Below are 12200 nucleotides of genomic sequence, written 5' to 3'. Positions count from 1 at the left end.
GGAGAGCCCAGTTACAGAATTTTCTGGGGTTTAAATACCCTCTAGTGGTTTCCCATTGGTTACTTGGTGTACACCCTATGTAAATGAAGTAGTGGCCCATGATCTGTCTGACTGGTTGTGGGAGGGGACCAATCAGAGGCTGAAGCAAAGTTGCAAAGTTACAAAGTTATACCCTATGCAAACGTCTGATTGGTTGTGGAAGGTGACCAATCAGAGGCCGAAGTGAAGTTACAGCATTATACTCCTATGCAAATGAAGACTTAGCCCTAGACCAGCCTGATTGGTTGCAGGAGGGGACTAATCAGAGGTATTTTCAATTTTTCATCTGCCACTCAGAAAAAAGGGAGAGGGGTTGCAAAGAGAGTAGCCTCTGGTCCTTTGGTTATTTGGGCATGGAAAGTTGGGGTTTTCCTTTTGATTTAGTTCTAGGAAGTCAGCGTGAATCAGCCTTAGGTTCCCCGCCTCCAGACCCTCTTCTCCTGCCTCAGCCGTGGTTTAAACCAAACATGCAGCGTATTGTCTGCCTACCTCAAGGAAGGCCGTCCAAAGGCTCTCTGGGCGGCTAGGACATCTCTGTGTTTGGACTTCCCGGTCTCTTTCTTCCCTTCTCCCTCACCAGCCAACCCTGGTGCTTACTTTCCATCCTTATGACAAACTCCTGGCACGATAGGGTGGCCAGTGCTCTAGCGGTTACTCCCAACCTTGCAGGCAGTCAGACGCCGAAGAGCTGGAGGACAAAGGAAACACCCGCTGCCCCTACTCCTCTCATCCTTCTAGGCAGCTCTCCCGGCGTCACCTGGACATTGCTTTCATCAGAGGCTGCTTTGAGGAAAGGAGGGGGGTCGCTCTTAGCTGTTGGCAGCTGGATCCGTCGGTTCTGGTGCTCTGTGGCCAGAACCTTTGAACCTTCTCATAGGACTTGCAGTAAAACTTGCTTACGAAGAACTGCACATGGTAAGATTCCAATAATTATTGTTAGATTTTCTAATGCTTTTCATTGGAAGGCTTTTATTAACAAATGGCTTTCAGCTCTCAATACCATCAGAATTTAATTTGGATTTTTTACTTTTACTATTTTGAAATGCAAATTTTGCTGTTCGCTTTAGTATTTATCGTAGCTGCTGAGTTCACAGGTATCACCCAGGCTACCGTGAAGTTGCGCCTCCCACCACAAAATGTAATCTCTGTCTCTACTCACAGAGAAGGCAGCCCTTGTCATGGTCAGGTGCTAATGGCTCACAGTCTGGAGGTGTTGCTATGAATATTGTTTGATGTTTCCCAAGTCTCAGCCACAGGAACCCCACAGGAGCCACACGTGCCTGGGTGCCCTCCAGGACCTGGGTAATGGTCACACCAGCATTTACACGGGGCCCACTCACGAGGCATTGCTCAGGGTGTATTCATCAATTCAATCCTCAAAGTGACTCCAGGAGGCGGATGTCACCCGTACTCCCACTTTACAGATGAAAGCAGTGAAGTGATTTTCCCCAGGTCACCCCATCTGCAAGTGGAGGAGCCCCCGTCAGCCAGTGATTGGATCTGCCCCCCCATCTCAAATCCACTGCATTGCACCACACCATCTCCCCACCAAGTGTACCACCCCAGGGCGGGTGGAGGGGGGACACCCCCGTTAAGCTGATGGGGACCCCTGGGGGATGAGATGCAGAGAAAGAGACAGAGACAGAGATAGGCATAGAGACATATAGATACAGAGAATGAGATGGAGACAGAGAAACAAAGACAGAGATAGATAGAAATGGAGACAGAAAAAGAGCAGGAGGGGAGGGAGGAGGGAAGACAGGATGAGGTTGCCACAGCTCCCGGGCCACAGGGTGTCAGGGAGACACTGAAGGCAGGTGCTGGGCACGTGGGTAAAGGCCATTTGGTCCACCGGAAGGCACTCCTCCTGGTCTGGGCCCTGCAGCAATTGGGGGTCTCAAAAAAATCCAGGAGCCCGCCCCCAGGAGGGAAGGAAGACTGGTTTCCAGCCCCTCCTCTCCTGTCCAGCGCCCCAGTCCTGGCCAGAACATGGGCGGGGTGGGCTCTAGGGAGGGGGACCCACACAGCCCTGCCCTCCCGGGGACCCAGTGGAGGCAAGGCAGGATTCAGACTCTGGCTCAGCAGCTTCGGGGGCAGCAGGGGCAAGGGAGGAGATGTTCCTGGGAAGAGAGGACCGACCCAGGGCAGGTCTGCTCTGTGTGGGGAGGTGGCGGGGACAGAGGGGGCCAGATGTGGGCGGCGAGGCAGCCCTCCAGGACAGGGATATGGAAGATGGGAGGTGGCTGGGGGTAGGCTGGAGGCCATCTCTGATGGAAGAGTGCGTGGCAAAGGAAACTGCCGCACAGCGAGTTTCCTTGTGTTTACCTCGGCCTCACCTGGGAAAGCCATGGGCTGCGTGGGGAATGCAGGCAGAGCAGGCCTGGCCGGGAGGCACCGCCCAGCTCACACTCACCTGCCCAGGAGCTCTGCTTCCCCCAGCCTCAGCCTGCCCAGCAGCCTGGGCGCCTGTAAATCTTTGCTGCAGCCTTGCTGGAAGCTCACCTAAGGACAAGCAAAGGACCGGGGCTGCCAGGTCTGCCAAGAGCAGCTTCCCGCAGGGCAGGCTACCCACGAAGGCACCTCCTGCAGGCTCCAGCCTCATGGACGGCCTCCTTCCAGGGCCTCCCTAGGAAATCCGGGCCCTGCTTAGGCCCCTGACAGCCTCGTGTGACCCCAGACAAAGCCCCATCTGGAGAGACCCTGGAGCACATGCCACTCACAGCCTTGGGACTCACAGGCCTCAGGAGCATGGATCAAATCAGGCCAAGCCCGGGTCCCGTTCCCCAGTGGGGGCCTGATTGGGTCTTCTTTACTCCCAATGTTGAGCAGAGCCATCAAACCCAGAAACCCGCTGGGTGGACACTGGTGTGACCTGAAAACAGAAGGGCCACGCAGCACGGGCTCCACCTGAAACCGGCACCCCCTGTGCTGAAAGAAGAATCGGACAAAGGCAAGAGCTGCAGGTGCACGCGGGACGCCCCTGCCCGTGACACGGCCACAGAAATCTCCAGAACACATCCACAGCATCTCACACGAGGGGTGCGGCCTTCCCTCGGCCCCGTCAGGACGCATTTAGGCAAGCAGGCAGGTCATTTGTAGAATGGACGGCCGCCAATGGCGCAGAGGAAGAGCCTCGAGACATGATGATTTGGTTTTAGATGTAGGGGAGTTGCTCCTGTACTGTTTGTTTGGACTCAATTAATAGTAAATGATGCAAAGTTGTTTCACGTCCCCAGCCTCGCCTTCTACTTTTCCTTCTTCTGCTCTGGAATGCCGTCAATGCCGGCCCTGTGTGCAGCTTGCCTCTTTCTGTGCTGGTCCTGGGAGGTCTTCCCAGCACGCACCCCCACCCAACTCCCCCTTGGGGTCCCTTCCCATGAGGGTCACCTGGGACGGCATGTTTCTGGGGCTAGGTGGCGGCTGGAGCAGGGCAGGGAGCCAAGCTGGGGGGTCAGATGGGGCAGGGCCTGGAGGCTGGGCATGGGTGGGCGTGGTCCCAAAGGTGACGGGAAGCCCTATGGGTGCTTCCAGGGGTCATCCGGCCCCATGTGTGGAACAGACGGCAGGAACCAGGACTGCGGCAGGAAGTCAGGTAGAGCTTCTGTGGTGGCCCAACCAGAGGGCACCGTGGCTGGCAGGGGACGACGGGAAACCCCTGGACCCGAGGCAAGACCCAAGTGTAGGCCCCAGCGTAGACCCCAGGGTAGACCCCAGGGTAGACTCCAGGGTAGACCCGGGTGTAGACCAGACACACCTGTGCATTGGCTGTGTGGTGATGAAGCAGGAGAATTTGCGCCTGGCCTCTTCATTTTTGACTGGGCGCCTGAGTGCATGGTGTTTCCTTCTGCTCAGTGGGGAACTGGGAAGAGGTGAGTTTGGAAGGAAAAATGGTGCCTTCAGGCTGGGTCCCATTGTGGTATTCAGAGAAACAGTGTTGGTCGGGGCAGGCAGGAAAGAGATGGCACGTGGGAATTGGGTGATGACAGGTGAGCTTTAGCCAGCATTTTTTTTTAGGTGGAGTCCCACTCTGTTGCCAGGCTGGAGTGCGGTGGTGCGATCTCAGCTCACTGAAACCTCTGCCACCCAGGTTCAAGCGATTCTCCTGCCTCAGCCTCCCAAGTAGCTGGGATTACAGGCACGTGCCACCACACCCGGCTAATTTTTGTATTTTTAGTAAAGATGGGTTTTATCATGTTGGCCAGGCTGGTCTCGAACTCCTGACCTCAAGTGACCCGCCTGCCTCACCCTCCCAAAGTTCTGGGATTACAGGTGTGAGCCACCGCACCTGGCCACCAGCTTTCATAAATATAAAAGCAGGGTTTAAAAAGAGTCACAGGACAGGCAGGGGAGGGGCAGCTCCCGGAGCCGAGGGCAGCTGTGTGGAGGGGCCCCCGAGACGCCCAGGCTTGCTGCATGCAGGGAAAGCTGAAGCAAAGCCTCTGTCTTGCTCTGATCTGCTAGCACCTGCCACCAGCTAAACCCACAGTGAGCAGGAAACTGAGCGGGAGGAAGGCAAAGCACCCTCAAACAGCCCATGTGGGTGAGCCCCCGAGACAGAGGACCAGAGGCTGGACCTGAGTCTGGAGGTGAAGATCAGGGTGTCTAGGCCACAGGAAGAGTGGGAAGTTTTGCAATGTGCCCAGAATTCTTGGACCCTTCTTCCTTGAGGAGGTGAGGTCTCTGCCCCCACGCCACCTGCATGGATGGGCTTCTGCGACCATCTCCATCAATACAATGAAAAGTGAGCTTAGGAAACCAACGAAGCCTCTGTGGGCTTGTCCTGGGGCCCTCGCCCCGGGACCATTCAGTGGCCAGACCCGGAGGCTGCTCCACGGAGAGGCTGTTGAGACAGAGGTGCGCCAGAGGAGTCCAGGTATGGGAGCCTCAGTCTGAGGACCAGGTGAGATGAAGGAGACGACCCCAGCCACAGCCACCATCTGACCACTGCTGAACAAGAGCAGCCCTGCTGAGCCCAGTCACCCCAGACCTGGGAACAACATGCAAGGTCATTACTATTTGAATTTGAAGTCCTGCCTTAGGGTGGCTTGACTGCAGCATTAGACAACCCAACAAAGCATATTGAAAGCCAAGGGCTGGACTCTGTCCCCCAGGAGAATGTGTAGGTAGAGAAGGGGTCCCGGCTCCAGCCCTGTGGACTCCCACATAGAAAAAGATGGTGCCACAGCAGGGGAAAAGCAGGTGCCCAGGCACTGGAGGAAGACTGGGAGCACGGAAGGCTTTGGGTGCCGAGACGGGAAAGAGTTGCAGGGTGGAGGGCGTCTCTGCCTCAGCGAATGCCACCAGGGGACTGGAGTGACCAGGAGTGGGCAAGGGAGGGCCATGGAGGGGCCTCCACAGGGTGGGCTGCTGAGGGTTGCGTGGAAGAATTTATGGGGAGTCTGCACGCCTGTCCCTCTCCATGCTGGACCAGGAAGCCGAAGCACGCCCAGGTCCTCCGGCCTGCACTTGTCCTCAGAGTGGGGCTTCCGATCAGGGTACTCCCAAGGTTTGTCTCTGAGGGTTATGAGGAACTGCATGTGGTTTAAGGCAGAACACTCCTCTTTCCATTTGGAATACAATGATGACACAAGGAATTTGGAGACCAGGCGTGGTGGCTCATGCCTGTTACCCCCGCACTTTGGGAGGCTGAGGAGGGTGGATTACCTGAGGTCAGGAGTTTGAGACCATCCTGGCCAACACGGTGAAACCCCGTCTCTACTAAAAATACAAAAAAAAAAAAAAATTAGCCAGGCTTGTTGGCGCCTGCCTGTAATCCCAGCTACTCAGGAGGCTGAGGCAGGAGAGTCACTTGAACCCAGGAGGCAGAGGTTGCAGTGAGCCAAGATCGCATCACTGCACTCCAACTTGGGCGACAAATTGAGACTCCATCTCAAACAAAACAAAATGGAATTTGGAGATTTGGAGATATGTATGCGGAGCCCTGAAAGTGGGCAGTGGGGTCCATCTGGAAAGTTAGAGGTGAGAAGCGCAGCCTTCCAGGAAAGCACCTCTGGGCTGGGCGGCTTCCCTTCCTTAAACATCTCCCTGCTGTCTGTTAGTTGTGTGCGTCTGAGAGAAGATTTCACCAGGCTTCCCAATCTTCACTCTCTTTTTTAATAAACCAGCATAAAGTAGAATTTATTTACATAATGCAATGATCCATGAAGGTTACCATAACGCCGAGGGACCATATTAGCCGCTTGAGTGGAATTCATTAGAAATTAACTACCACTTAAATTAATTTTCCCACAGTCACAAGGCTGTAATGGCGGGAGAAGGGGCCGTCCATCAGCGGGTACTGACAGGGGACCTGTCACCGCTGTTATTTATAGGTGCGCGTGTCAACCCCTAGAGCAGGCGCCGGGCCAAACTCAGAGCCTCCAGACTCACAAAGCCACTTCAAAAGGCCCAAAAATTCCCCCACTGATAAGTAATCCAGCCTTACCAGCCTCACCCTTCCTAGCAGCCAGAGGAGGAGCAACCTGGGCAATGCTGGTCATGGCATCTGACAGACCAGAGGGACCCGTCTTTGTTTTAAACCCACACTGTGACACACAAGTCCTTACAAGCTGCTGAGAGTCCTGTGGCCTTTTCAAAGGCAGGGGACCCCTTCCAGAGCTCTGTGTCCAGAGCCCAGTTTCAGACAAACTGTGCGTGGCTGTTTCTTAGGGATCTCTGGGGACAGGGCCCACTCCAGGGTAAGAGCTTGCAAGGGAACAACTGAATCTCATGTGGAAGGGCAGAGCATATGTGTGCACAGATGTGTGGTGTGTGTGTGTGGCATGTTTGCATGCTGTGCATGTGTGCACATGTGAGCACGTGTGAATGTGCGTGTGTGAGTGCATAGGGTGCACGCATGCGTGGTATGTGTGCTCAGACGTGTGCATGTGTGGTGTGTGCATGCACACATGGCATGTCAGTGCATGTGTAGTTCATGTGTGTTCTCATGGTGCGTTTACATGTTTGCATGTGTGGTGTGTTTATGAGTGTGTGTGTGTGCACACATATGTACACTGGAGGATCCCTCCCGTTTAGGAAAATGAAAACACTGAAAAAGGCGTTAAGCATTTCCGGGGCTTCCACTTCAACAGTCCAGACCATATTTTATTCTGAACCAGTGGGCAGTGATCAACGTGAGTTTCCTGAGACAAGATGGGTGCTCCCATGGGGAATGCTCACAGTTCCCAAGGGTGACGGTGCAATGGCAGAATTACTCTAAGGCCGAAAGGCTCTGAAGTGATCACCCAAGTTCTGTGAGGGGCCTTATTAACCCCTTCCAAGGAGACTGACATTATTTAGGAGTTGTCTAGGGGAGTACCAGATGAGGCAGGGGGGTTCTTCTGAGGGGTACGTTGGGTGACATTTTTGTCTCCTGCTGAGACACAGCACCAAGGATGCACGAACCGGCAGTTGCATGGACACCACCACCCCCCCAGGCTCCTGAGCGGTGCCTGCAGTTGCCACCTGTGCTTCACACATGAGGAGGGGACAGCTGGATCAGGAACCGCCACACACAGCCCAGGAGATTGGGGAACTTGGCCTCAGGGGTCTCACACCAGCTCAGCAGCCCCCTCAGCTAAATGGCCCCAGTGAGAGGCCACCTTGGCGGGGAACCAGGTGAGCAACCAAGCCCTGGAGTTTCCCTCCTGGTCTGGGCAGCTGCAGCCCTGCTTCCCTCAGAGGTGCCTTCTCAGGTGTGAGTCCAGAAAGTTTTGGGGACCAAAAAGTCACCCAAGCATTTGCAGCCTTTGCTGTTTGAGATCGTGGGGAAGTGGTGGCTTGGCAGTGCTGTCTGCAGCCTGGCCCAGGAGAGAGTGAGCACAGCTCAGAGCTGTCCTGGGGCTTGGTGGAGTTGCGGGGGGGAGCGGGTGAGGCTGAGGCTGAGGCTGAGGGTGAGGCTGAGGGTGAGGGTGAGGGTGAGGCTGAGGGTGAGGCTGAGGCTGAGGCTGAGGGTGAGGCTGAGGGTGAGGGTGAGGCTGAGGGTGAGGCTGAGGGTGAGGGTGAGGCTGAGGGTGAGGCTGAGGGTGAGGGTGAGGCTGAGGCTGAGGGTGAGGCTGAGGCTGAGGCTGAGGGTGAGGCTGAGGGTGAGGCTGAGGCTGAGGGTGAGGCTGAGGGTGAGGCTGAGGGTGAGGCTGAGGCTGAGGGTGAGGGTGAGGCTGAGGGTGAGGGTGAGGCTGAGGGTGAGGCTGAGGCTGAGGCTAAGGGTGAGGCTGAGGGTGAGGCTGAGGCTAAGGGTGAGGCTGAGGGTGAGGCTGAGGGTGAGGCTGAGGATGAGGCTGAGGCAGCTACACCGTCCTCCAGCATCTGGGGTCTGTCCCAAGGCTGCTCTGCCAGGTCCTTGTGAAACCAGGTCCCAGGGTGTAGGCCAGGGTGAGATGGCGGTGGGAGAGCAGATACAGAAGAACCTTCCAGAAACAGTGTCTCTGCCCTTCCCACCTCTGACAGAGGGAAGGGCTGAGCTGAGAACGAGGATGCATTATCCATTCAGTCGCCTGCTTGATGTTCCTAGAGAAAGATCCTGAAGTGCAGCGAGGCACTGTCGGAAGACCCAAGAAGACATCTTGGGGAAAGTGAATAAAAGAGATTCCTGCCAATGTGAGTTTCAAAATGCACGGTGCTAAATCAACTTTAGCCTAAAGCTGCCTCCTTACATATTTTAAGTTCGGCCTAAAGGTTTTTCTGCATATTGTCAACTATAACAAGTGGAGGTGTAAACAGGCCAGAGCCTACACTTGTGCCTATCACTGAGATTTGGCCGATCACATGTAGCCAGCTGTTTGAACTGTGTTCAAATAAGGCAAACACCAACCTGTAACAATCCGGCTGTGTCTGGGCCTCACTTCCATCTTCTGTGCGTTACTTTCCTTTTTCTATCCAAAATTATTCTTCTGCCCGAGGGTGCACTGGAGTCCTGGAGCCTGCTATGGCTGGGAAGGCTGCCCGATTCACAAATCATCCATTGCTCAATTAAATTCCTTTACATTTAATTTGGCTGAAGTTTTTCTTTTATCAACGGAAACTGATTTGTCCCCCAAGACTGGATGTTGAAGGCCTCAGGGAAGTGGCGAGGCCGGAGTCCAGCAAAGGACACCCGGGAGCCACCCCTGGCAGGATGCTGATCCCTGAGCCAGGGGCTGCCAGCCGAGTCCCTCCGCGGGCATCTCTGATGCCAACAGCAGACCTGTTTGGGGTTCAGTGTGATCCTCTTGGAACTGAGAACAGAGCGTCCCTCCTCCCACCCTCCCTGGGCAGTGGTGGCAGCCATGCTCTGGAGGGGAGGGGTCGCAGCGCCACCTTCTTGCTGGACCAAATCAGCCATCACGCAGCGTGAATGTATGACAGAGACAGGGATGGAGAGAAGAGACAGAGTGGGAGAGACACCATCCCCACAGGAGCCAGGGTGGCCGGATGCCTCTGGGAGTAAAAGGCACATAGCCTAGGAAAGAAGAAGGGAAGCTGGGGCCAGCATCGGACTAGAATGTTCTGTGGGCAACTCACTCCCTGGGCCATGTTTCCAGCTCCCTTCCAGATGCTGCTGAGAATTTCAGAAGGATGGTAAAGGGCCTGTGCTCGGGAGGCCATACTGGCAGGAGGCGGGAAGGAATGGGACCCGTGGCCAGGGGCCCCTCAGCCTCACATCGCCCTCAGGATGGGGCAAGTGCATGGGCTGGGGTTCCCCTGCGGGGGTCCAGGAAGGCCTATGTGTGCCCTGCTGGCCCTGCTGCGGCCCCTGGAAGGACAGGCTGGGTGGGGGAGGGAGGCTGACAGGCAGTGGGGACCAGGGCCAGTAGCTGCACACTTTGACCTCTTGCTGAACTCTCACAGGGCAGGGACCCCAAGAGCCCCTGTTCTGAGAGCCCTCCCCCAGCATCAGCCACGTGGGCTGGGTTTTCATGGGGGACTGTGGGCTTAGAAATCCTGAAGCTTGGCCCCAGGGTCAGCGATGAAGCACTCCTAATCCCATGGAAAAGAAGGAACCTCGAAGTGGAAATCCCAGGTAGGGCTGCCTCCTACCAAAGCAAGACTTCCACGCCCCACCGAAAGGGCGCACATGGGCCTGCCTCCCAGCGGGAGAGGCTGAGGTGGGAGTGACCGAAGGCCAAGCTGGATAAGAGACCCCGAGGTGGGGCCACACACACCCCGAAGCAACAAGTGCCCTCCGGAACCTCGGCCCTGCGGCCGCTACGCTTTTATGCAATGTGTGCGTCTGGGCTCACTTTGCGGAGCAGTCGTAATTCCCACCACATTCGCAGGAGGATCTGGGACAGCCCCGGTGCCTTGGCCCTGATGGTGCCGTCTGCCTCTCAGGACCTGACTGCCTAAGTGCTCCTCGACGGGGACTTCTTGGGGAATGGACTCTGATTAAATGACCCTCGGCTTTCCAAGGAGCTTCCTTCTGCACGTAAGCATTGTTGGGAGACCTGTGAAGGGCGGCTTCCTGATGGAGAGGGACCCAAAAGAGCTCCAGCCCATGGCACATCCACAAGCGTTTGCCACCGGGGCAGTGACCCTGGTCTGGCCCCTCGTTGCTGCCACCTCCGCCTCCTTGCCTTCCCGCAACTCCTGGCGCCCAGGCCTTCCGTCCTGCCGGCTGGCAGCACTCTGATTTCTGCGTGCTTATGATTAACCTGTACAATATGTTCCTCTTAATGCAGGGCTGTTTTCCTCTCCTCCAATTCTACAAACTGGAAAACAGCATATAGCCCGAGGCCACCCGGAATAATGCTGGTGTCAAGCATTAAAAAACATATTTGTTTTGTGTCCTCTAAGGACGAATGATAGACATGTAAAAATGTTTCCCTGCTTTCCTTTCAGGGAATACTTAGTTTAGAATTAACTTCTGTCAGAGAAAACACAATTTCCCGCACCCACTCTGTATGACTTCCCACCATTTCTATTTTGCGGGGGAAAATACCACACTGTGTTTGACACGTATGATTACAAGTTTACAGAATCCACTTACGTTTCTGCTGTTATTATTGTTTCTCTTTAGGAAAAGCTACTCATTAGAACCAAACAGAAGCCTTCTTTCGGGAGAAACAAATAAATGCAGGAAATTGGCTGTCCCCAGCTGAGCCGGCCTGATTTGTCCTTGTGTCTGGGAAAATGGGCTCCCCCAGGGGTTAGGGCAAGGGAGCGCCCATACCCCCAACCAAGCTGAGACCGTGGAAACTGGCCCCCCGAGGGGGGTGAGGGGAGCTGGCATGTCGCTTTCCTGCTGGGAAGGTGCCCGTAACACACATGCACACACATGCACCCTGCCCTCTCAGAGACAAAGGGCTTGCTTGGGACAGACAGTGACAGCCAGTGCTGCCCTCATTGTGACCGTTGCAGCCTGGGTCACCCCACAGGCCCCCAGCTTTCAGCTGGAGGGCACAGGAAACCCTGGGCTGCTCAGGCAAGCACGGCCCAGACCAACCCTCATCTTCACGCCAGGCTGTGGCTCGCTGCACCTTTGCCAGTGTTCCCAGGGAGGGAGAGGCACTTGGTGTTTTGCATCCTGGTGCCATAGCCGATGCCCCTGGGTCTCTGCCTTTCTTTGCAGTCGCACCAGGGCAGCAGGTATGGACAGCAGGTGTGTGTCTCCCGACTCTGACTTCTGGGTGACCAGAGGCCCAGGGGGCTTCAATGCAGGAGGGTCATCTGCTTTGCTGCCCACAAGGTAGACAATGAACACAGAGCCCCGGATGTCAGCTGACTCACCAGCACTACCCAGCCAGGCTGAAGACAGGACCTCCTGACACCAGAGCCTCCCCGGCTGTGCAAGGCCCACACACACCTGGCACACTGCTGTCCTTCCTCTTCATCTGGCCTTGTTGGCTCAGGCAGTTGTAACAAAGTACCACGGGCCGGGGCTTCAACACCAGAAACTGTTCCCTCCCAGTCTGGGGGCCGGGAGTTCAAGACCAAGGGGCCACTGGGCGGTTTCTCCCGAGGCTTCTTCATGGCCTACAGACTGTGGCTTCTCCCGTGTCCTCCCACGGCCACTCCTCTGCGCACGCGCATCCCTGGTGTCGATTTCTCTTCTTACAAGGACATGTCCTATCGGGTCAGGGCCCTCCTCACAACCTCATTTAACCTTAATTCCCTCCCTAATGTCCTAGCTCCAGATACAGTCCCGTGGGGGCTGGGGCCTCACCTATGACTTTGGAGGACACGGC

The 12200-nt window shown here is 55.8% G+C and overlaps 3 annotated features.

Moving 5' to 3' along the window:
* Positions 6142–6191: an enhancer, noted in NCBI's record as "active region_22310". NCBI's record gives its function as "activates an Ori minimal core promoter by ATAC-STARR-seq in GM12878 lymphoblastoid cells {active_cell/tissue: GM12878}" and the evidence as "EXISTENCE:reporter gene assay evidence [ECO:0000049][PMID:35858748]".
* Positions 7062–7121: an enhancer, noted in NCBI's record as "active region_22309". NCBI's record gives its function as "activates an Ori minimal core promoter by ATAC-STARR-seq in GM12878 lymphoblastoid cells {active_cell/tissue: GM12878}" and the evidence as "EXISTENCE:reporter gene assay evidence [ECO:0000049][PMID:35858748]".
* Positions 7462–7571: an enhancer, noted in NCBI's record as "active region_22308". NCBI's record gives its function as "activates an Ori minimal core promoter by ATAC-STARR-seq in GM12878 lymphoblastoid cells {active_cell/tissue: GM12878}" and the evidence as "EXISTENCE:reporter gene assay evidence [ECO:0000049][PMID:35858748]".

The sequence above is a fragment of the Homo sapiens genome, chromosome 5 (genome assembly GCF_000001405.40).
Source record: "Homo sapiens chromosome 5, GRCh38.p14 Primary Assembly".
Lineage (NCBI taxonomy): Eukaryota > Metazoa > Chordata > Mammalia > Primates > Hominidae > Homo > Homo sapiens.
This window is presented reverse-complemented; position numbering and strand designations above follow the sequence as displayed.